Source organism: Homo sapiens, chromosome 3, assembly GCF_000001405.40.
Source record: "Homo sapiens chromosome 3, GRCh38.p14 Primary Assembly".
NCBI lineage: Eukaryota > Metazoa > Chordata > Mammalia > Primates > Hominidae > Homo > Homo sapiens.
In genome coordinates, this window is record NC_000003.12 from 99492416 (window position 1) to 99518384 (window position 25969).

Sequence of the window (25969 nt, forward strand, 5' to 3'; positions counted from 1 at the left end):
AGTAACCCAACAACATGGTACTAGCACAAAACAGACACATAGACCAATGGGAACAGAATAGAGAAACCAGAATCAAATCCATACACCTACAGTGAACTCATTTTTGACAAAGGTATCAAGAACATACACTGGGGAAAAGAAAATGTCTTCAATAAATGATACTGGGAAAACTGAATATCCATATGCAGAAGAATGAAACCAGAGCCCTGTCTCTTGCCATATACAAAAATCAAATCAAAATGGATTAAAGATTTAAGTCTAAGGCATCAAACCATGAAATTCCTACAAGAAAATGATGGAGAAAAATCTCCAGGACATTGGTGTGGGTGAAAATTTCTTGAGCAATACCCCACAAGCACAGGCAACCAAAGCAAACACGGACAAATGGGATCACATCAAAAAGCTGCTGCATAGCAAAGGATACAATCAACAAAGTGAAGAGGCAATCCAAGAATTGGAGAAAATATTTGGAAACTACTCATCTGATAAGGGATTAATAACCAGAATATATAAGGAGATCAAACATCTCTGCAGGAAAATATCTAATAATTCGATCAAAAAATGGGAAAAAAAATTAAGTAGACATTTTTTCAAAAGAAAACAAACAAATGGAAATCACACTTATGAAAAGGTGCTCAACATCACTGACCATCAGAGAAATGAAAATCAAAGCTACGATGGGATATCATCTCACCCAGTTAAAAGAGCTTATATTCAAAACATAGGCAATAACAAATGCTGGGGAGGATGTGGAGAAGAGGGAAACCTTGTACACTGTTGGTGGGGATGTAAATTAGTACAACAATTGTGGAGAAGAGTTTGGAGGCTTCTTAAAACACTAAAAATTGAGCTACCATGTGATTCAGCAATCACGCTGCTGGTTGTATACCCAAAATATAGGAAATCAGTATATCAAAGAGATGTCTGCACTCCTATGTTTGTTTAGGAGTGCAGTAAAGCTAAGATTTGGAAGCTATTACAAATAGCTAAGATTTGGAAGCAAGCTAAGTGTCCGTTAACAAGTAGATAAAGAAAATGTGGTACATATATACAATGAAGTACTATTCAGACATAAGAAAGAATGAGATGCAGTCATTTGCAACACAGATGAAACTGGAGCTCATTATGTTTAGAGAAATAAACCAAGCACAGAAAGACAAACATTGCGTGTTCTCACTTATTTGTGAGATCTAAAAATAAAAAAAAAATGAACTCATGAACACATAGAGTAGAAGGATGGTTACTAAAGGCTATGAAAGGTTTGGGGGGCTGGAGAGTAGGTAGGGATGGTTAATAGGTACAAAAAAATAGAAAGAATGAATGAGACTGAATAAGAATGAATGAATTTGATAGCACAACAGGGTGACTATAGTCCATAATAACTGTGTATTTTAAAATAACTTAAAGTCAGTAATTGGATTGTTTGCAACTCAGTGGATAAATGCTTGAGGGAATGGATATGCATTCTTCATGATGTGCTTATTTCATATTGCTTGCCTGTATCAAAACATCTCATGTACCCTGTAAATATACATACTACTATGTACCCACAAAAATTTTAAAAATTTAAAAGACATATACAGAACATTCCTTTTAAAAGCAGTACAATATACGTTCTTTTCAATTGCACTCAGAACATTCTCTAGCATAGATTATTTTAGGCCACAGAAGAAGTCTTAACAAATTCAAGAAGATTCGAATCATAGCAAGTATCTCTTCTGACCACAATGCTGTTAAACTAGAAATAAGTAACAGAAAGAAAAATTAGAAATACACAAATATGTGGAAATTAAACAACACACTTTGGAAGAGCCAATGGGTTAAAGAAGAAATCAAAACGGAAATCAAAAGATATGTTGAGACAAAGAAAAATGGAAACACAATATACCAAGACTTATGAGACACAACAAAAATCACTTTTAAGACGGAAATTTATAGCCATAAGTTCCTACATTAAGAAAGAATAGGCCGGGCGCAGTGGCTCACGCCTGTAATCCCAACACTTTGGGAGGCCGAGGTGGGCGGATCACGAGGTCAGAAGATCCAGACCATCCTGGCTAACACAGTGAAACCCTGTCTCTACTAAAAATACAAAAAATTAGCCAGGCGTGGTGGAAGGCGCCTGTAGTTCCAGCTACTCGGGAGGCTGAGGCAGGAGAATGGCATGAACCCGGGAGGCGGAGCTTGGTGTGAGCCGAGATCGCGCCGTTGCACTCAGCCTGGGCGACAGAGCGAGACTCTGTCAAAAAAAAAAAAGAATAAAGATCTCAAATAAGCAACCTAACTTTATACCTCAAGGAACTAGAAAAAGAAAAACAATCTAAGCCCAAAGTCATCAGAAAGATGGAAATAATAAAAATTATTATTAGCAAAACAGAGACTAGGAAAACAATAAAAAATATCAAGGAGACTGAAGAGTTAATATTTTGGCAAAATAAACAAAACTGACAAACCTAAGGAAAAAAGAGAGAAGACACATATAATTAAAATTACATATAAATTAGGATACATTACAACTGATGCTACAAAAAAAAATTATAAGACTACTCTGAACAATTATACATCAACAAATTGGATAACCCAGAAAAATGGATAAATTCCTAGAAACATACAACCCACTAAGGCTGAGTCATAAAGAAATAGAAAATCTGAACAGACCAATAACAAGTAAAGAGACTAAATCAGTAATCAAAAACCTCCCAACGAAAAGTTCAGTGATTGATGGCTTCCCTGGTAATTTCTACCAAACATTTAAAAAAGAATTCATGCCAATCCTTCTCAAACTCTTCTAAAATATTGAAGTGGTGAGAACACTTCCAAACTCATCTTACAAGTCTAGCATTACTCTGATATCAAAGCCAGACAAAGACATTATAAGAAAAGAAAATTACAGGTCAATGTTTCAGATAAAGATATATGCAAAAATCCTTAAAAAACACTGGCAAACTGAATTTAATAGCCCATAAAAAGGATTACATATCATGATTAAATGAAATGTATATTTTGTTTGGGGGGGATGCAAAGATAGCTCAACATATGCAACTCAATAAATGTAACACACTACATTGATAAAACGAATGATAAAAATCATATGCTCATCCCAAGAGATGTAGAGAAAGCATTTGATAAAATTCAACATCTTTTCACTATAAAAACTCTTCAACGAATTAGGTATAGAAGGAATATACCTCCACATAATAAGAGCCATTTATAACAAGCCCACATTTAACATTATACTAAATGGTGAAAAGCAGAAAGCTTTTATTCTAAAATCAGGAACAAGATGGATGCCCACTCTCATCACTTCTATTCAATATAGTATGGTAGTGCTAGTTACCACAATTATATTTAAAAAAATAAACACAAGCCATCCAAATTGGACAAGAAAAAAGTAAAATTGTCTCTGTTTGCAGATGATGTAATCTTATATATGGAAAATTCCAAAGACTCCATCCAAAAACTTTCAGAACTGATAAATTCAGTAAAGGCGAAGGATACTAAATCAACATACAAAAGTCAGTAGATTTGTATACATTAACAACAAACCATTTGCAAAATAATTTAAGAAAACAATTCCATTTACAATAGCTTTAAAATATGTGTAAAATATGTAGAAATAGAGGTAAAATACCTGTACACTGAAGACCATAAAACATTGATAAAATTGAAGACAAAAAAAATGGAAAGGTATCCCAAATTCATGAATTGGAGGAATTCATATTGTTAAAATGTTCATACTACCCAAAGTGATCCAGATTCAATGCAATCAAAATTCCAATAACATTTTTCACAGAAACAGAAAACAATCCTTTATATGGAATCACAAGAGACTCTGCATAACCAAGGCAGTCTGGAGCAAAAAGAGCAAATCTGGAAACATCACACTACCTGGTTTTAAAAAATACTTCAAAGCTATAATAATCAAAGCAGCATGGTACTGGAATAAAAAGAGGTACATGAAACAATTTAATTGAATGGCAAAGCCAGAAATAAATCTACACAATTACAGTTAACTGATCTTTGACAAGGTGCCAGGAACATGCAATGAAGAAAGAACAATCTCTTCAATAAATGGTGTTGGGAACACTAAATATCCACAAGCAAAAAAAAATTGAAATTGGACCCTCATCTCATGCCATGTACAAAAATCAACTCAAAATGGATTAAAGACTTAAACATAAGACCTGAAACTGTAAAACTATTAGAAGACAACATAGGGGGAAATCACCGTGACATTGGTCTGGGCAATGATATTTTTGGGTATGACTTCAAAAGCTCAGGCAGCAAAAGCAAAAATAGACAAAAGGGATTTTATTCAACTAAAAAGCTTCTTTACAGCAAAGGAGACAATCTACAGAGTGAAAAGGCAGCCCATGAAATGGAAGAAAATATTTGCACAGCATTCTTCTGATCAGGGATTAATTTCCAAAATTTATAAGGAACTCAAACAATTCAATAGCAAGAAAATGATAAGGTTAAAAAATAGGCAAAGGACTTGAATAAACATTTCTCAAAAGAAGACGTAGAAATGGCCAACAGTTATATTTTTAAAATCCTCAACATCACTCATCAAAAGTACAGTGAGATATCACCTCACGCCTCTTAGAATGGCTGCTACCAAAAAAGACAAAATATAAGCATTAACAAGGATGCAAAGATAGAGGAACCCTTGCACACTTGTTGGTGGGAATGTAAATTAAGTCATTAGGGAAAACAATATTAACATTCCTCAAAAAAATAAAAACTGAACTACCATGTGATTCAGCAACCCCACTTTTGGGTATGTGTATATATATTCCCCATAACCAAGACATGGAATCAACCTATGTGTGTTAATCTACAGATGAATGAATAAAAAAAAGTGATACACACACACACACACACACACACACGCAATGGCCAAGACATGGAATCGAACCATGTGTGTTAATCTACAGATGAATGGATAAAGAAAATGTGATACACACACACACATACACACACACACACACAATGGAATACCATTGAGTCTTTAAAAAGCGGGAAATACACAGATAAACCTAAAAGGCATTATGCTAAGTAGAATAAGCCAGGAACAGAAAAACAAATACTGCATGAGCTCACTTACACATGGAATCTAAAAAAGTTGTGAACTTATTAATGCAGAGAGTAGAGTGGTGATTTTTCAGGGGGAAGAAGGTAGAGGGATGGAGAGATGTTGGTCAAAGAATACAAAACTTCAGTTAAGCAGGATAAATAATTTCTAGAGATGTATTATAGGGCATGATGACTGTAGTTGATAATAATGCATTGTAGACTTGAATATTGCCAAGAGAGTAGATAAATGTTCTCACAACAAAAATGATAAGCATGTGAGGTTACAGATGTGTTACTAAGCTAATCATTTCACAATGTATACACACATCAAAACATCATGTTGTATAGTGTAAATATATACACATTTTATGTCAACTATACCTTAATAAAAATCATTAAAAATTATAAAAGAAATTAAAAAATTAACTTGTGAGGAATAATACAGATTATAAAGTTCTTTTGAAAATGTCAATTTATGTAAGTTTCAAAACAATCCTGTGAGAAGAACTTACATACTTCACCTAAGTTACAGGTGAAGAAACCAAGACTCAGAAGTTTACATAAAGAAAGTTTAAGGCAGAGGCAGGAATGAGTGTTAGTTAGGGGCAGTTTTACTTATTTCAGGGCCTTTGAAAACTCAGACAAGACCATACTTTAACACATACCTTGTCTCTTCTAAATGTCAGCTGCCACTTGCCTTTTATGCCAATGGTTATTGTCACTGGTGACGTCTGAATTCACTTTCTCTAAGTGTTTGCTTACAGTTCCTGGTCTCCTCACCTGCCTGGAATTCACCAAAACTAAACCTGGGAACTCACACTGTGCTTGTCCTTACTTTGGATCATAGCTACAGCATTCTCACGGGCCCCTAAGGCTTCTTTTCCAGCCCTCAATGCCAACTCACAACCTATGGATGCCCAGCTGATCCTGTCTCACCTCCTCACAAATGAGGCTCTAATTCAAACCAGCTCACTCTGTGGTTGTTTGTTTTGCACCCTGAGCCACACCTCAGCAATTACAGGTAGGCATGGGAGGAAGAGATGGAAGGGCTCCCTGAAGTCTGAGTGTTTGTGGGCACAAAGCTAAATGTTCCCTTCAGCCCAACAATTAAAAGCCAGGCTCAAAACAGAGAGGCAAAGCCTCCTATGTGCCAAGCTACTTAGAAGAAAAATATAAATGCCAGCAGCCCAGACCGCCAGCAAGACTGCTGGAAGGTATGGGGACTTGCAGAATGAGGCTGCAGCATCATGATCTCCTGGAGACAGGACTGAGGCAGGCCAGGAACTGTGCAGGAGGGAGGGAGGGAGGGAGAGGAATGTGTCTCCCAACAGCATGTTTGAGAACAAGCAGTTATTTTCCCCAAAGCCATCTGTGAGACTCTCAACTTGTGCCTGAAAAATAAAAGGGCGAGACAGAGAGAGAGAGAGAGAGAGAGAGAAAAGTGAATTACTGGAAAAAATAGGTATCTCTTTGGGAGTTTGTGAGGGCAGCGAAAAGACTGTCTACCAGTCTGTTAGTCTTGGCAGCTGCATGTCTGTGAATCCGGCCATGGTCAGGGTTTCCAAGGCCCTACTTCTGGAAAATGCAGAAAGGGTTTAACCTGAAACGTGGACCGTAGATGGCTCTGGCGTGATCTAAGTCAGAGGGAACCGTGAGGTCCCTCAGCACAAGGGGTCACTCAGGTGATATTGTGACTAATTGCATTAAAGATTGTACAGGAACATGTCTCCAATTAGACAGAAGTCTCTCAGGAGGCAGGTTCCTACAAGGTTTTTTTTTTTTTTTTTTTTTTGACTCTATCAATTACAGCCTGAGAAGTGTTTTAAACAGTACACGATGGATAAGAAATTCCTCATTGCCAAAGGAGAGGCCATTTGCCCAGCACTCTTCATCCACCAGAGGGCAGATGTTCTGGCTAAAGTGGCTGCTTCCTCCAAGCTACTTTGTATTTTACAAGAAATATGACTTTTTCTTCCTTATGCCTGTAGACATTTAGGGATGTCTTTGGTTGCAAGTAGCAGAAATCTTGCTTCACAGTCGCTCAAACAAATACAAGTGTATTTTTCTCACATAACAAGATTTTGGATCTAGATAGCAGCTGGCATTGGTTCAGTAGCTCAGTGGCATCAGGGCTAGTATCTCTGGAATTCTCTCACTTTCCCTCAGGCTTGTCTCTCTCATAATCACAAGATGGCTGCTGCATCAGTGGGCACTATGCTCATGTTGAAGATAGGAAAAAAGTAGAAGGGCAGAGTCCCCTGTGTTAATCCCAAATTATCAGGACTGCAATTGTATCAGAATCTCCATCAGACCTCTGCATGTGCCCTACTGGTCAGATCTCCATCACACAGCCACACCTAGCATAAAGGGAGCCTAAGGATGTGAGAACCTAACTGGACACCCTGTCAGTCAGAAAAAAATCAGAGTTCTATCAACTACAAAGAAGACGGAACTATTACTGGGGAGGAAACCAACAGTGTCTGCCACACCCTGTGCATAGCACTGATCAAATTGCATTGAAATATTCTGTTTCTTTCTCTCTCTTCTCTTTCGCCAGAATTAATAGCACTTGGCAGACAGAGACACCCAGTCATTCTTGTATTCCCAGCACATGGCACACACTGCCTGGCACAAAATAGACTTAATAAACATAACTTAAGTTCAAAAAATATTGGCAGAACTAAACTCCAAATAATAGTGAGGCAAAAGAATTGCATTTAGGTTCATTTGTGCCTACACATCTCCCTAAAGATAACAGGAGATATTGCTGGAAAAGAAACATAAGGTAATCAAAAGATAGGCACTCAGAAAATGAGTAGATGATGCTCTTTGGATGCACAAAGTTTCTAACACACACACTGAAATAGGTAATGATAATAATAGCTACTGCTTTTTAAGTTCCTAGGAAAAATTAGATGTTCTGTAAATACTACCTCTGATCCTACTATCTTTATAAGTTACATATTATTTGCCTCATTTTAGAGAAACTGGGAAAGTGGCCCGAGGTCTAAGAGCTGGAAACAAACAGTAGAACCAGAATGTGAATCCAGGTGAGTCTATCTTTCTCCACTCTCCATCCTGCCTCCTGCGTGAGGGTGTCCAGTACTTTCATTTTACTCAAGGGAAACTGTAGTGCCGAGAGGTCATATGAGGACTCGCTCCAACTAGATAATAAGTTTCCTGTCTCCAAGGACATGTTTCTATCTTTATTCTCTGCCGCCCTCAACACCTCACTAAGCAGAGAAAGAGTGTACTGTGCTGTTGAAGCTACAATGGTATTGTTAGCTGTGCTGTGCTGTGTTAGCTGTGCTGTGCTGTTAGCTACAACAGTGTTGCTAAGTATGAGGAAAGGCTTACTGACAGCTGGCTTTCTTATCCAGATCTATGATAAAACTATGGAGAAGAAGATGGAGCCAGAAGTGTACAAGCCCCTCCCTTCTCTGAATCCCATCCCATCCAGCAGAAGAGGCAAGTGTATGTGGTTTTGGAGCATTAGATGAAGCATCTTACAAATTTCCTGTAAACGTGTGTGATAAAATGTGAACAAAGATGAAACGGCTGCATTTTGATTCCTGGCTTCATGTTGCCCACAATGGTCCACAAATGATTGGAGTTCCCTGGTCACCATCTTTCTCTCTAATTGATAAGTTGAGCTCTGTGCCAAGAGCTCAGTCAGGTATGCCTCAGTGGAAAAATGTAATATTTCAATTCTGACTTACCTAAAGGCCAATATCACATGGCCTACAGTCTGTGGATGTGCCCAGTTGGTATCAATTGCATTGCTTATGGCAAATACAATGCAGATGAGGTCCTTCATCAAGAAATCAGAACCTAATCCAATAAAACCTGCTCATGCAAGCAAAAGCAGTCTTGAGTATTTCAAGATGCCCAGGGGCTGAGAGACAACCCCATCCAAGGAGTGTTCATGGCGTTTGCACTCTTCTAAAACATTCACTTCTAAGAATATGTACAAAATAAGGGTGGAGTTGGACGTAGTGAAAAACCTCCGATAAGTCGCAGCAAACCAAAACTGGCTTTTAAGGATCTTGAGCTCAGCAGCAACATACACACTGAGGTCTTATAATCCTTTGGATGGAATAAGGGAATTCTCCTTTATACGAAAAAAATATTTTGAGATATTCAGGCACAAACAGAGACTGTACATTTTGGCAGGAAACTCATCTGGAATTTTAAAGCCAAAATTATAAGTTCGAAATGAGAGAAAAGAGAACCACAGTCAGGGTTGTCATAAATAGAATAATTTTATTCTTCATGTTTTCACCAAAATAACAATCATACATTTCAACAGTGGGTTTTTTTTTCCATTGGTACCAAATGGATTATTCAGAACATCTCATTTTGATTTATTGAGAGCAAACATAACAATTGTTCAAATTAGAGTACAGAGTTTAAATTAGGTAAACACTGGGAAGGAATCAAACAAAAACCTATTTTGTGCTAAGCTGGGAATCTCTTGTGTGTTGAGTAGTGGTGTCGCATGCAGTCCCAGGGCCCTTGGCTCCAAGTCCACACAGCCAGGCACTCCCTGGGCTGTGCCCAAGGCCTTGAGGGCAATGGCGTCTGGAGTCTCCCAGTTTTATTGTTGGTTTGCATAACTCTCGCAACCAACTCTAAACTAGAGGTATATCCTGAATTGGACCTCCTGGGAAATGAAGTGATTACTTCCAAATTCACCAGTCAGAATCTCTGTAATCTGGAGCTCTTGGCTGTGGCCAGAAAAGAGCAGGGTGGGTGGAAGGTGGAAAGTCCTCCACTGAGCTCTGCCACTGGTTGCAAGTTATAGAATCAATATCATACAGAAGCAAAATGACCACCCTTGCATGAGTTACTAAGAGCACCCATATTATTCCAAAAAACATGGTGGGTTGTGGAAATAGAGGATAGATGCTGGCCAAGCAATGCCTGCAGATGGGAAACTTCTAACCCACCCTTTGGGAGGCAATCTCATTCTTGATGAAGCCATTACAAATGCAACGACAGAAGATATTACAGTCACTGCAGTCACCACAACAGAGATCTTATGGGGAAAAATCAATATCTTAATTTCTTCTGGATTTTTTAATAGAAAAGTATTTTCTATTCCAAATATTAAACATGAGCTTCAGGAGGAGTAACTAGACTAAGGTTTTTAGATCAGTACATGTAATAGAGGAACATTCTTGTTTGTAATAAGCTTGTTTCTTCCTTGTGTATTTGTTTTCACAGTAAGGGCTAAATTCTCCCCTCTCTGAAAAGTGAGAGAAGAAAACTACAAAAATACAGTTGACAATTATAATAAAGTGTATACTTTTATATACTTTGATATATCAAAACCTATTAAAAATTTAAGGATAAAGGCATATTAAATGCTATGAAAAAAGTATACCTATTACTTTCATATGACACACTCTACACCTAACCTTGGGTGCACTAAACATTCTAATTCTGCATTCTTTATTCTGAGAAGTCTACTTCCTGACTTGATACATTCACCTCCCTGGCAGGGTATCAGCAGAGGAAATGGAGTAGTAGAAACAGAAATACAAACTCCCATGCAGTTGAAAGCTGAGAAAGAGAAACTGTGATATGTACTTTACAGGCCGGCTTTCTCTCCCCTAACTCAAAATTAGAGCAAAGGGAATGAAATTTGAGCAATCATAACTCACATTTCTATAGCTCCTGCAGTGTACAAAGAGCCTTTACACATGTGATCTCATTGAAACAGCAAAACATTCCACCTTCTGAACAATTTCTAGGGTCAGAAAGTATATGTGTAAAACAGAAGGTGGCCTGTTCTTAAATAAGGATCTTCTTTATTGATAGTAGGTCAACACAAACATAGCTGAGTCCCTTAGGTTTGGGTTCCAGAAGCAGACTCTGATGGAACAAAAAAAAATAATAAAGAGATAAAATGTGAACAAATGTGGGAGTGATTCACTCCTAACCAGGAAATTGGGACAGGGAAGGAAAAGCAGCCAAGCAAAGGCGGGATTTCAGGCAAAGTCCTAGCTTCAGCCTGATCCCCAAAGGGAATCTGGAATATAAGCCACACTTTAGAGTTTGTCCTGACCAGTAGCACAGGGGCTGGGCCTTCATATTCCTGAAGATACACTCATGGGCTAAGGGCTTAGGGGAATGGAGTGGAGTGATCGGGGAACACAAAATCCCGGACACTTCTGGCTGTCTGCACAGCTCCAGAAGAGTTGCAAGTGAGGACTGTTAGGAGAAAATCAAACAAACAAAAGAGGGGAAGCTCACAGACATAAACAGTAAAAGGGATTTGAGGGAATCTGGGCAGAGTAATAGCACAGTCCACTGTGGGTTTAGCTTTACAGAAAACAGACTTTGAAAAACAGAATATTAAGGCTACCAATTCAAAGCCCAATACCAAAACTACTGAAATGTTTGCAAAAAGAATGTCATGGTGTAAGTGTGAAAAGTAGTTGAAGGAGAAAGATCAAATGGACCCTTACTATATGGTTGTTCAAAGGTGGCTTAAAATATAAAATTCTATTGAGCAAATCACATGGCTCAATTAAGGCCAACACTAAATTAATTCTGACTGTTACTGACTAGCCACAAAAGACGTAAGACAAATCTTTTCACATTACTGAGTCCCAAGCTGCTTTTTAAATGGAGGGATAGGAGATAAGGTTATAATAACAATTAACATGTATTTGTATATTTATACTGTGCCAGGTGCTAAGTGGTTAGCCTAGATGATCTCATTACAAGTTAGTGTTATAAATCTCCCCATTTCATAGGTCACACAAGCTAGTAAAGGGCAGAGCCATGGTTTAAACCTAAACATGTCAGTTTCAAAAACTGGGTGTTAAACTGTTCCAATACTGCTTCCCAGAGGGAATCCACGTCATTTATAGCTCTGGAATTCAACTGTTTGAACTCATGCCCTATGAGTTCACATGTGGCAGATGTAAGAAAAGAGGGACACAGAGTAAACAAAGACATTCATAGACAGGATACTGTCTCCACATTGCACAACTCCTAGGGACACTGGTTACCACCTGCATCCGCCATCTAGGGTTTTGCATTGCTGGGATATTCAACAAGGCCCTGATTAAGCAAGTTTAGATGATTCCTGCCATCTCAATTCCTGATGATGTGCCTAACCAATATGTTGTAAACTTAGTTGGGTGGATTAGCTTTAGAAAAAGCTAATTGAGATGTCAAGGCCTAAAGACCACATTTTCCTTTTTTTCTTTTTTTTTAAGCCTTTCTTTTCTATTGCAAGTTACTAAGGAATTTGCTGGCTGTCCAAGTAATTCTTAATATTTTTTAAATCCAAGGTTTTCCCTAACTTAGTGTGCTGCCTGTCTCCAATAACAAAGGCCTTCAGACCACACTAAACACAAATGTCACCTTAAAAGCTTGTACCATTTATGATGGCAGTGAGGGGAGTAGGTTAAGGGTGAAAAGGTTTTCACCTCACACACACATCATACAGGAAACTTATTTATGTGTTAAGCACTACCCATGACTTTGGCCTAGATTTAAGGCCTGAAAATTAGCATAAAATTTGTGTTCTATTAAAGTACTTTTCAGACAGATTTGACTTTGTCAAAGAACTCAAAACATTTTAACATGAAGATTTATTCCCACATTCTTGGGATAGATCTCCATTATAGAAATTATCAAATTATTATTATCTGTTTATATAAATTTATGAATGCTTCCTCTTGAAGGTAATCTCTTTGAGGACAGAAGCCATGACCTAGGTGTCTCTCTTTCCCCAGGTCTGGAATATGACAGCTACTCACTGTCAAGGAATTAATGAGTCTATAGTACTATGCAGCACTGAGCATGTTCTCCTATCTCCTCAAAGAAGAGAGAGAACCCTTACATTTACTTATCAGAGAACTGAGAAAATGAAACCACATTCTTCATGTGTGAAGAATCAAGTGACATTGTACCCTAGGGACTCAATAAGGCTACTCCATCTTGCAAAAAAAAAGATATCTTACTAGAAATATTAAAATAAAATGTCAAGATGTGTATTAAACTCGGTTGGACCAGAAATGTATATTTTTTATTCAAGCATGAAAAGGATATGTATCCATCCAATGTGGTTTTCAGAGCCTATGTCCCCATGTAGGGGAAAAAATTCTCCCTCACCACTCGCCTCGAGACCCACCCTTAGAGCTTTATTTTTTTTAGCACAGTGTTTAGGGTGGAATGGAAATCCCTGTGGGATAGGAAACACTTTAACCTTTAACTGTAGTTATCAATCACTTATAATGTAATATGAATAAAAGCTCTCAGAGCAGAATTTTTATCAAAAGCACTGAGGATGTGAAAGTGTAGTTACACTTATATCAAGGATTATATAGTAAAATGAAAAAAGAGCAGAGTTTTTCTGAAGTCACATTTCACCTCTTCACTGACTTACTTTGGGCTGGCCTTGATTGGAACCAGGAGGCCATTCGTCTGTGGGCATCAGGACCAACCCTCCCCTCCAAAGCAGAAACTCAAAATACACTGCAGTCTTCAACCATTCTTTCTGTGGGCCCAATGCACAGCTGCTGTTGCTTCCTCCTCAGTCTGGGGAATCACCCAAAGATCATTAGATTCAGAATGACTTGGCAAACCAAAATCTTAAGAGAGTGCAGTCGCGTGGCCCAGTCACTATTCCACAAGTCCTCGGTTGTGAGTCACAGTCAGAGTACTTCACAGACCTTAGCAAGTGATGTAATAATCTGGAGCCCGAGAATTGTGAAATCGAGGATTTGCCACCAATTAACCGTGTAACTGTAAGGCTTTGGTTTCCTTAAATGTTAAATATATATATATATATGAGGGGAGGGGAGATACTGCATAATCAAATAAAAGTAGGAAATGCTTCATTAAAAGAAACTTAATACTTTTTTTTTTTTATTTTGGGAATCCCCAAAGCCTATAATATGTTAATATGAACTGCAAATCTCCAGGAGGGGAAACAGTGTCCCAGGTTTCCCAACCTCATTTCATTTTGGAACCCTATTTTCTTTTTTCTTTTTTTTTTTTTTTTTTTTTTGAGATGAAGTCTCACTCTTTCACCCAGGCTGGAGTGCAGTGGCGGGATCTTGGCTCACTGCAACCTCAGCCTCCCAGGTTCCAGTGATTCTCCTGCCTCAGCCTCCCAAGTAGCTGGGACTACAGGCACGTGCCACCATGCCCAGCTAATTTTTGTATTTTTAATAGAGACAGGGTTTCACCATGTTTACCAGGCTGATCTTAAACTCCTGACCTTGTGATCCACCCACCTCGGCCTCCCAAAGTGCTAGGATTACAGGCATGAGCCACCGCACCCAGCTGGAACTCTATTTTCAAATATCATTTTCTAGAACTCGTATTCTACTGGTTACAATTTGGAAAATGCTAGACTAAGTGATCCCCAAAGGCCTCCAAGCATTAATATTCTAAAATTTTACTCTCTGATTCTTTTCTTCCCCCTTTAATCCTAATAAGGAGCTCCACATGAGATTCTGCATATCCAAACTCTTTGCAAACTTAAAAATACCAAAAAACTGTTAGCTATTATAACATGGGGGCAGGACCAGGGAGATGAAGCGTATCCTGTCAACACCCTGAGAACATGGGTAACAGTCTCCACTAGAAAATCTCTGACCTGCAATTATGTCTTTTTGTAATGTGCTTAATTACATACTTAGAAAATAAATTCTAGAATTCCAGCACAATTTTTGTTTAAGGAAATAAGAAAATCCTTTGTTTTGCATAAACGGTGTTACAACTAATTAAGGGAGAAATTAGCTGCCAGGTTACATGAAAAGATAAGACCTGATTCCATGACATCTTCTTTGCATTCATGAGAAGCGAGCTGATGGTCTGCTGCCTGTGTGGTGTTTAGCTCAGCCTCCACTGACTGGGACTCATTAGCCAAGGGTTACAAAAAATGTAACCAATGCTTTTTCCAGATATTCCACCGCAAACCAAGTAAGACGGTGTCTGTCCCTTGCCTTGAAGGCCTGGGTCTGAGCCACTCACGATGCTCCCTCCAGCTCAGCCTGCGGCATGGGATTTTCATTAGATGGCGTTCCTTGTATTCAAGCAAGTCCTGCTGGGGTATAAATACCGCTCCTTTGTTTTTGGAGAAGTGAAGAAGGAGGTAAGCATGTTAATAAACAGCTATTCATTAACTTTTTAAATAATTTTAATGTTCAATAAACTTCTTGTTCTAGTCTTGTTTTTCCTAAGAATAAATCAACATATATTCCAAGTGGCTTTGGGAAGTGGCTAAATATTGCCCATGCTTTTTCCCTTAGTGAAAGTTCCTCCCATTTTGTGATTTGAGAGGCTTATTCACAAGTAGCATTCACCAGAAGAGCCACAGAACTGCTGATGCTTGCAAGGCTCAGGATAATGGGATATGAAATACAGACATTAGAGGCCCAAGTGAACACAAAAAGCCACACGCAGCCCAAGCCCAAGGTCTAAATTTCACTGTTCTGGAACTGCTATGGGCAGTCCCAAGGCCAGGGTGGGCAAAGGAGGCTCCTTCAATGTGGGATACCCTCCCCAGCTCTCCCCATTTTCCTCTTGGAGATACTCTGTTAGTTTAGAGAGCAATAGCAGATTCTCTGTCTCTGGATGGCTGCTGTTAAAATCTACAAGAGTTTCTTACCTTACATTTACTTATCAGATTAAACTGTCCTTTCAGAAGAACTAAGAAAATGAGACCACGTCTAAGGAGCATTATTATGGGGCATGAGATTGGATCCTGATAGGACCTGGGTGGCAGAGAGTGGCAAGGACTAGACACAAGGGCAGCCCACAGGATATTCACATTTCATGGGGCCTTGCCAACCAGAGCAGGAGTGAAGAAGTTAGAAGAGTATGTCAAAGAGAAATTCCAAAAGGGAACTCTGAACAGGAAGGTGGCCAGCTTCACAGGGAAATAAGTGCTTCCCCAGCAAGCCCTGCCCAGCCCCCAAATCAAGCTCTAATGAGAGTTCTTCCAGTCCAAACAGTATCCACACTCTCAAGCAAGGAAACAAAAAGGGAAAACAGCAAACCTAAGTCACTTTAACAATATAGCTCTTCCATGTTCTGGACACAAGAAGGACAAGATTTTAGAGAGAATGACACAAAAGCACACATTTTCTCAACAATCAGAGGTTCCATATACCTGAACTGTTGCCAATTCAATTCAAGTAGAAGTTTATGCCCCAGGGATAGTGACTTTGCTAGTGCCCAGAATAGAGTGGAAGGGCTCTGGTAAGAGAGAGGTGAAAATTAAAAGTGACAGTATCATGTTTTGGAAACATCATTGTAAGGAAAATAATCAACAGGACAAATATACTGAGGATCCAGACACTTCTCTTAGTAAATTGGTTGAGAGAAAGGGAAATAAACAACTGAGCTGGGTAGCCTTGTTTTCCTCCCATTGAGACTGTCTCCTCAAATATCACACATCCATCCTCAGCAGTGACAACTCCAAACCTTGGTGGTTCTGTACTTTTGCCACAGACTTTATTCTTGAGAAGCCAAGAGCAGCAGAAAACCTAACTTTATGTTTTCCTTTTTGAAAGAGCCTTGAACTTCCTTCTCAGAAATTTACCAAACAATGTAGAGTAGGCTTGGAGGTAGGTGGTTTTTTAAAAAAAAAAAAAAGAAAAAAGAAAAGAAAGAAAAAACAGACTTCTGAACATCCAGGATGATATTCAGCCTGAACTGCAGTTAAATTTCAATAAATAAATACATAAAATATATCATCTAAAGACATTACTATTAGACCACCAGAAACCTTAAAGGAACCCAAAATGTATAACCTTAGAGGAGACCCAAGGCCACTTAAAGAAGCCTCGTTTTACTGAACCACAGCATAGCTGATCGCTGATGCACCCTCAGAATTGCATATTTATACTCTTGTCTGCTAGTAGAATAGGTGGCTGGGCTTTTGTTTTGTTTTGCTTTATCCAAGTGGAATGCATTTCTCTAGGAGCACAGCGTATCTTGGACCTGGGTCTGGATGGAGCCCAAGGAATGCAAGATCAGAGAGTGCCTGAAGTTACCAGATAATGGCCAAGAGGCAACGAAGCTTTTGATTCTGTAAAATAGAGAATGGGACTAGACGAACTCTAAGTGTCTTCCAGCTTGAACATTCTGTGATTCTATGCTTCCACCCCACGTGCCATATTCATTGACAAACAAGGAAAATCCGATCTGGACTGGTGGTGGTTTTTAAAACCTCACGATTCTATAAAATACCAGGAATATGTGATCATACCAGACATATTTAATATGTGTGTATTTCATCATTGCAGAGCCCTTCCCAAATGTTAAACTGGGGCTAGGGTTCAAGGGTATTTGAAAAAAATTTTTTTAAAAATCTGGCCTTTAGGTTTGTGCTATATTAATCTATGGGAAAAACAGCAAAGATTCTTAGGGGGCTGTGATCCTGAGGGCTATAATCAGATATACACTAAAGAACTCTATGATGAAAAAAAAATCCTTGAGAGAAGGGTTTGGAAAGGGAGATCTGAATGGTCAGTGTCTGTAATGAACTAAATATGTATTCACCCGCCCCCATTCGTATGTTGAAATCCTAACCACCAAGGTGATGGTAGGAGGTGGGGCCTTTGGGAGATGATTAGGTTATGAGGACAGATACCTTATGAATGGGATTAGTCCTCTTATAGAAGAGACCTCAGAGAGGTTCCTGACTCCTTCCACTATGTGAAGTTACACAGAGAAGACACATCTATGGAGAAGCAAGAATCTGTCAGCACCTTGATCTTAGACTTCCCAGCCTTCAGAACTGGGAGAAATAAATTCCTATTGTTTATAAGCCACCAATTATAGGAGTATTTTGTTACGGCAGCCTGAACAGACCAAGACAGGCTTGAAGTTATGTCCAGCTATTATTAAAGATCTTTTGGCTGAGCTAACAATATGTTAGAAAAACTAAAATGGTTTTGTTTGCAAAAACAAAACATATTTAGATAACAAGAACAAAAAATTACATATTCATTTTTTAAACTGAGGTTTAGCTTAGATCCAGTAAAATTCACCCTTCTTAGTACACAGTTCTATGGGTTGACAAACACATATGATCATGTGTAACTAGCACCACAGTCAAGATAAAGAACAGTTCCACCATCCAAAAAAACTCCCCATGCCGGCCCCTGGCAGCCACCTACCTGTTCTGTCTCTACAGTTTTCCTTTGAAAGAAGGTCATTTACATGGGACAGTATTCAGCCTTTTAGACCTGGTGTTTTCATTAGCATAATACATCTGAGATACATCCATGTTATTGCATATATCAATAGTTTGTCCTTTTTGTAGCTGTGTATTACACTATTGTATGACTTTATCACATTTGGGAAACATTTGGGCTATTTCCAGTTGTTGACAATTACAAATAAAGCCACTGTGAGCATCCCCATACAGGTTTTTGTGGGAATGTAAGTTTTCATTTGCCTATGGTAAATACTTAGGGAGGGACATTCCTAGGTTTGTATGCTAAGTGTAAATTTAACTTTATAAGAAACTGCCAAATTGTTTCCTAAAGTGACCAAACCATTGGCATTCCCACCAACAATGTAAGAGGTCAAGTTCTTCTCCAGCCTCACCCACACTGGATATGAACAGTTTTCTCTTTAAGCTTTTCTAATAAGTGTGCATTGACATCTCATGTGGCTCTAATTTGCCTTTCCTTGCTAATTAATGATGTTGAGCATCATTTCATATGCTTATTTCCATCCATTTATTTCTTTGGTAAAGTGTCTACTCAAATCTTTTGCCTACTTTTTATTGGGCTATTTTACTATTGCCTTTCAAATGTTCTTTTGTATTCTGGACATAAGTTTCTTATCAGATATGTGATTTGAAAGTATTTCCTCCAGCCTATCCTTTTATTCCTCTAAGAGTGAATGTTGAAGACCTATAGACCACTTTGAAGCCCACTTTTGAGAGTTGATAGAAAATGGAGAGACGGTGAAAGCCCATATCTCTCGTTTGCTCTCCATCTTCTCTGTGGAGAATGTTCTTCAGAATGGATATTGTGCTACAAACACAGCAGGAGGGAATTAAGTTTATTAAACGTATTAAAATTTACATAAGTGCCAAGAGAACATTTACATTCTCTAAACAAGCTCTATAATGCTATCAGGGAGAATTTTAATGTCTGTGGCTGAGAGAAATGCAAATGTGATGTGTGCCCATGAGGAAATGGGAAAACCAATAGAGGATCAGGAGTATTGCAGACCCACCAAATGTCTTTCTTATTCCAAAACAGAGAGAGAGAGATGGAAATAGCACCCACCAAAGGACAGTGAGCTATCCTCACTCAGAAGAGGGAAACTAGTTTCTACTAGTAGTTAGCATGAGTTCATTAATAGGTCACATGAGATTAACCTGTTTTTCCTATTTGGCAGACCAAAAGGCCACGTGTAATAGCTATGGAACATGTGACAGCTGCATTTTACAAAGTCTCTCTAAATAGCTTAGTTGATAATATGGGAAAACAAGGGAGATGACCATTTGACTAGTTGCATTTGTAATTTTTGAATAACTGTACACTATGCAATAGTCATTTATCTATGTATCAGTGGCAACCTAGAGAGAAATTTTCTTAATTATATCATAACATAATTTTATTAATAATTCATATAAAAATGTGAAAGATAGATATCCCAAATTTGTAGATGGTAGAAAGCTGGAAATTATTATGAATGATTTAGGACCAAATAAAGACCAAAAACATCTTCTCAAGCCAGCCTGAATACAATGAGATGAAATTTAAAGGAGACAATTTTAAAATATTTCACTGAAGTCCAAAAACAGTTTGAGTTCTGGGTAGTGAAGGACACAGGGCTCAGCATGAAAGGTGAAAACATGACTTATGGTTTAAATCAACAGCAAGCCTGAGATAAATCAACAGTGAAATACAATGTCCAAAATTCCTAATATGCAATCTTGGGATATGTTGACGAACGTTTATCATTTTAGAGTGAAGAAGGATGATAGTTCTATTTGGCCAAACCCAGAGTTTTGTGTCCAATTTAGGGCACTACACTCTAGGAAGCCTATAAACTGAGCATGTCCTGAGAACAATAGTCTACCATATGATGTAAGCAATGATCAAGGAAATAGGAAATGATGGACACATGAGGAGAGAAAAAGACTTTGGGACCCATAGTTGTTGACATACAACAGTTAAAGGTTTGCATGGGATCAAAGAATCAGACTTGTTCGAGATAACTCCAAAAAGGTTATAACTCTAAGATAACTCTAGAACTAAGGCTAGGAGCAGAAAGGTCCTGAAAGGAGAATATTTCTGACATAGTTGTTGAAATATGAGCTACATTGTTTTGAAAGTTAATAATTCTCTTAAGAGGAATTCAAGAATAAGCCAGATTATCTCTCAGAGGGGATGTCTGTATATGAAGGAGATTTAAAAACACAATGCATAGATGAATAAAATAACCATGAAAGTCTTATGTAACCTAATCACTATGTGATTCCATGATCATATGGTACTTGTTTGAACTCTCATTTTGCTGAAACTTGGGGTGGGGGAAGGAAAATTAACAAATATGTAGAGGGAAATAAGACCCACAGCTACAAAAGAATATTTGGAATCAATTTGGAAGTGCTTCCAAGAAGTTACATTTGGACAGTTTGGGTTGTTTTTTAACTTTGCATCAAACTGAAGATTAGATTTTATGATTTTATGAGTTGCAGGGATATTAAATTTTTTACATTGTTTCTTCCACTTGACATTCATAAGAAATGATAAGCAACTGAAATGAAACTAATAAACAAATACAATGTTAAATACAGTGAGAATTTCTCATTAGACATAGTGGGAGCTTTAGAATTTTGTTGAAATTTAGGAAGAGAAAATAAATTAAAATTTGGAAGGGGGAAAAAGAGAGTATACTGGTAGTTGGGCTCAATACTGATCAACATATTGATAATTCTCCAGAATAATCAGTGGAAAATCAGTGAGAATTCTCCACTGATTATTTTGGAAAATTAAGATGGAAAAAAATCACCTTAAATAGTGTAATAGTTAGCATATAAAACAAGATAATAAACTAAAATAACAAAGGAAATGTACATTGATACAAAAACGTGTATAGAACTGCATGGTAAGGAAACTGAAGACCATCAAAATCTTGTCAATAACAATTGATTGCACGCCTTCTCTAAAAAGGATCGGCACTCAGTATTGCCAGGAAATCATCCCAGAATCAGATTGCTCTGGACTGATAGAGCCCAACTGGTTAAACAGCTAAAAATAAGCAATCAATTCTTAAGCTGAAAAGTTCACATGCCCTGCGGGTAGAAAATGAGAGTGCCAGACACAAAAAGAACTCAATTAAAATTTCCCAGACCTTGTGATTCTTGGTGCCACAATCAACATCATGTAGTGCAATGATATGCTGTGTGATATATCATGCACGTATACATACACACATACACACACATAAATACATACACAAACATGTGTATAGGGCTATATGTAAACACATGCACATACTTTTTTCTGCCAATTCCTTTTTCTTTAGCCTCACCACTCAAGTCTACACTGGGAATAAAAATGTAGATCTTGCACATACATAAGTAAGCCTTCAGTCATGGAATTCATTCATGAGTTTACAAAGTGCAAATATATCATAACTACACTAGAAGTTAACAGTCTTATGGGCTCTGTCATTATAGCTTAACTAAATCTAAAAATCCTTCTGGGGAATATTCAGGGAGGGCTGTAAGTCAAGGTAGTCACCTAAGCAAAGGGGGAAGCATTTCCTCCAGGGATTTGGAAGGACACTTGGTAAAAGTATATTCCCTACCATCTAAATGTCTTCATATCAGACATTTTGTCATTATCATTCTTTTTAAGCTAAGCATTGTCTTCCTCCTATAAATTTCTTTGAAAATCAAAGAGATAGCATTAGGAGATATACCTAATGTTAAATGACGAGTTAATGGGTGCAGCACACCAGCATGGCACATGTATACATATGTAACTAACCTGCACGTTGTGCACATGTACCCTAAAACTTAAACTATAATAAAAAAAAAAAAGAAAATCAAAGTTCCTAAAGTATGGGTTAAATCATTAAGTTCTAAAAGCTAAATGTCAATTTGATTATCAATTTCTTTCCTAACCAGCAAAGAGAGAGAAGAATGGGTGAACCCCAGTTATACGTGACAATTGTCAAGGGAAAGAAGAGAAGGGTCTAAGAGATAAAGGGCGTGAGAAGATGAAGTAAATAGAAAATATCTCTGACAAACTTCACTTCCCTTCATACCTTTGCTCCAGCAGATTCTGACCGTCATAATGATCATTCCCCAAGTCATCAAGCACAATGCAACATGATAGAGCTGGTTATACCTTAGCAATAATCAAAATAAACCAAGCTATGAAAAATGGCTTAATCTTTTCATTTCAGATTAACTTTAAAAAGCATTCTAAAGATAATTCCTCCTGTTGATCAATTCACTTTTATTCTCTTGTTTTTTGTTTTTTTGTTTTGTTTGTTGTTCTTGTTGTTGTTTTTGGAGACAGGGTCTCACTCTGTCATTCAGGCTCACTGCAGCCTTGACCTTCCAGGCGCTAGTACTCTTCTTACCTCAGACTCCCAAGTAGATGGGACTACAGGTGCATGCCAATGCAGCCAGCCAGCTATTTTTTTTTTCTGAATTTTTGTAAAGACAAGGTCTTACTATGTTGCCCAGGCTAGTCTTGAACTCCTGACCTCAAGCGATCCTCCCTCCTTGGCCTCTCAAACTGTTAGGATTATAGGAGCAAGCCACCGCACCCAGCCTCACTTGTTTTTTAAGAACAACCCCAAACTGGCATATTCATCAATGCACCTGTTGTATTACAGAGGTGATTTCATGTGGCAATCTATAAAAATTTCTCACAAATATCACCTTCTCCATGAAGCTTTCTCTGATTCCCCAACCCAGATCCCCAATCATCACTCTTCATGCTACTTGAGGGCTCTGTTAGCTCTTCCATTAGAACTTTTTTCATGGTATTTAACATTTAAACTTACCACTCCAGTTAGAAAACAATCTCTTTGATGTTCCCAGCACCTAGCCCAGAACCTGGCACAAGGACGGTGTTTAACAACAGTGTGACACATGAATGATCAACTACCAAAATACTTGTTACATTGTAAATGTGTGTTCTTTTACTATCTCCCTGACTATGAGCTCCTTGGCATATACCCTTAATTATAGAACAGGCCTGTTCAACAGTGATGCTTCCTCCAAAGTATCTCTTTTGGGTCAGATGTAACTACCTTATCTTTGATAAATAGTAGGTAGTGATCCTGCACCACCAGGAAGATGGATTAGATGACTTCTCTGGGATTTTCCTACACAGAACCATTTCAGAAACATTAACAAGCAGATATTACACTAACTGGAAATTCAGGCAGCAATTAAAATGTCTTCTTTCCATCACTGCCTTCATTTAATTCTTACAGAAATATCAATGTGTTTGGGGAGGTCCCAAGGAAATGAACCAAACCTAGTTAGTCAGAACAACTCAATCCTCCTTTCTTTTGAGTTTATATCCTCTAAGTCTACGGACCGATGTAAAAATCATTTCCCTCCCGGAAAAGAGGCTGCTTCTGCCAAGCCAAATAGCAGGCACAAAAGTAAATGCAGCTGGGGCCCTGGCTCTGCCTCCAGGCCCTACCTTTGGCAATAAGCATTTTCTACCTCTGCATCCTGCGCCTTCCACAGGATGCTCAGTAACCTCTCATGGAGCTTCCAAGTTCTTTGGCAAATGCTCATCATGGCCAGTTGGATTTCTCTTAAAGGGTTTAAATTTTTCCACCCTACCACCTATTCATGAAGAAATTCAGAAATTATTAAGCTTCTGGAATCAATGGCTTCTTTTTTATATAAAAGAGAATATCTTACCATGCAATCTCTGACTAAAATAGTATATACTTTAAGTGTCAACAAATGTCAGTGTTCACTTTTGGATGGTACTAGATACTTTAAGTACTTGTAGTAGGACTGAAATGTAGCAGGACTGAAACTTGTAGTATATATGACAATTCGGAAATATCCTACACTTTTTTGCCATTGTCTATAACTTTTTTTCTAGAACATCTTTTTAGGCAGGAGGGAAAACAAAACCCTTCTTTTTCAAATTAGAATTACTTCCTTTGAGTTAATTCAGTCAACTGTGTCTCACTTATTTAGGAGTTTCTCCCTTCTGCTCCATCTTCGAAAGATGGCATCTACATAGTGGGGAGACTCTGCATATCCTCCATGGCTGTTTTCTTCCCTGTCTACCATATAGCAGTAGATCTGGTCTTGCCCTTAGGAATCCTTCCTTGGTATCTGTTGAAATGAAACCAGTGCCTGGCATAGATCAGTTTAACACCTTCTGCCACTTCCTTGTCCTGTTTTTAGTGCTTAGGTGTCTACTTGCCAAGGGATACAGAAATATTTAGAATCCCTAAAGGCCACACTCAGACAACAGGTTACCAGCACATCACGTGTGGCCTATCTAACCTGGCTGCCATCATAAGACTCCAATACATATGGAAAGAAACAAATTCTATAAAGGGCTGACTTCAGTGTTCCCTGTTTGAGAAGTGAGGAGCAAGCCTCCCTATGCTGGGAGTTTCCCAAAACTATCTGGGTATTTCTGCCTTTCACTCCCACTCCTTAGGGTTTTGGCCAAGAGAGGAAAAGTAGGACAATAACATCTGATTTCTTGTTTCTCTTCCTCTTACCTTTTTCTCTTTATGGGAAAACAAAACAAGTAAAAACAAAAACTGAAGTACCTTGATGAGAACTTTCCTTAAAACAGACTCCAATATTTCCATACAATGGCTTACAACAAAACTCTCTGAAGGAAGTATGCCAGGATTGGTTTTTGATATTTACTGTGGGAGAGAGTTAGACATTTAATAAATTCTTTTCTTTCTCAAAAAAAAAAAACTAGGTATCAAAACCATTCTAATACCGTGGACTCAAAAACTCATCTTTGAGACTCATTTCCAAGGCAAAAACCTTCTTGGCTTAATCTTTTTTTTTTTTTTTTTTTTTAAAGACAGGGTCTCATTCTGTTGCCCAGGCTGGAGTGCAGTGGCAGGATCTCAACTCACTGCAACCTCTGCCCCCAGGTTCAAGCAATCCTCTCACCTCAGCCTCCCCAAGTAGCTGGGGCTACTGGTGCACGCCACTATGTCTAGCTAATTTTTGTATTTTTTGATAGAGACAGGGTTTCACCATGTTGGCCAGGCTGGTCTCCAACTCCTGACCTTAAGTGATCCACCTGCTTCAGCCTCCCAAAGTGCTTGGATTACAGATATGAGCCACCATGCCTTGGCTTAGTCTTAATGAGAGGAGGCCTAAAGGAAAAGATCATTTAAGAGTGAATGAGGTCGGGCACAGTGGCTCACTCCTGTAATCCCTGCGCTTTGGGAGGCCAAGGCGGAGGGATCACTTGAGGTCAGGAGTTGGAGACCAACCTGGGCCAACATGCTGAAACCCTGTCTCTACTAAAAATACAAAAAATTAGCCAGGTATGGTGGTGGGTGCCTGTAATCCCAGCTACTCGGGAGGTTGAGGCAGGAAAATCACTTGAATCCAGGAAGCAGAGGTTACAGTGAGCCGAGATAGAGCCACTGCACTCCAGCCTGGGCAACAAGAGCAAAACTTGTCTCAAAAAAAAAAAAAGAGAGAGAGAGAGAATGAAAAATGTAACTGATAAGTATTTTTTAATTGATACACTTTTAGATTTCTGATAATATAAAAAAAGAAATTTTGTATTAAGCCACACTTATTTTCTACCATGTAGTCTACTATAAAGAGTTAATAAAGAGACATAAAATGGAAAAAGGCTTGACAAACTATAAATAAATAGAAATAATTTCCCTAAAAACATCT

General features: G+C 38.3%; 2 long non-coding RNA genes across 3 annotated transcripts in view; both read right to left on the bottom strand.

The window, feature by feature from the left end:
- The window catches only part of LOC105374007 (uncharacterized), a 175630-nt gene that overhangs the window by 69542 nt on the left and 80119 nt on the right, over positions 1-25969 (bottom strand). The gene's annotated exons all lie outside the window — the stretch shown is intronic.
- Positions 9320-25969, bottom strand: part of LOC105374005 (uncharacterized) — a 46233-nt gene continuing 29583 nt past the window's right edge. Inside the window, exons 2-6 of one of the 2 annotated variants that reach the window (XR_001740466.3) lie at positions 24862-24963; positions 22357-22439; positions 17705-17794; positions 13484-15171; positions 9320-10953 (exon numbers count right to left, since the gene is read on the bottom strand). This is a non-coding gene — a long non-coding RNA (uncharacterized LOC105374005). The remainder of the gene's footprint in view (positions 10954-13483; positions 15172-17704; positions 17795-22356; positions 22440-24861; positions 24964-25969) is intronic. The other variant, XR_007095985.1, reaches the window with a different exon arrangement.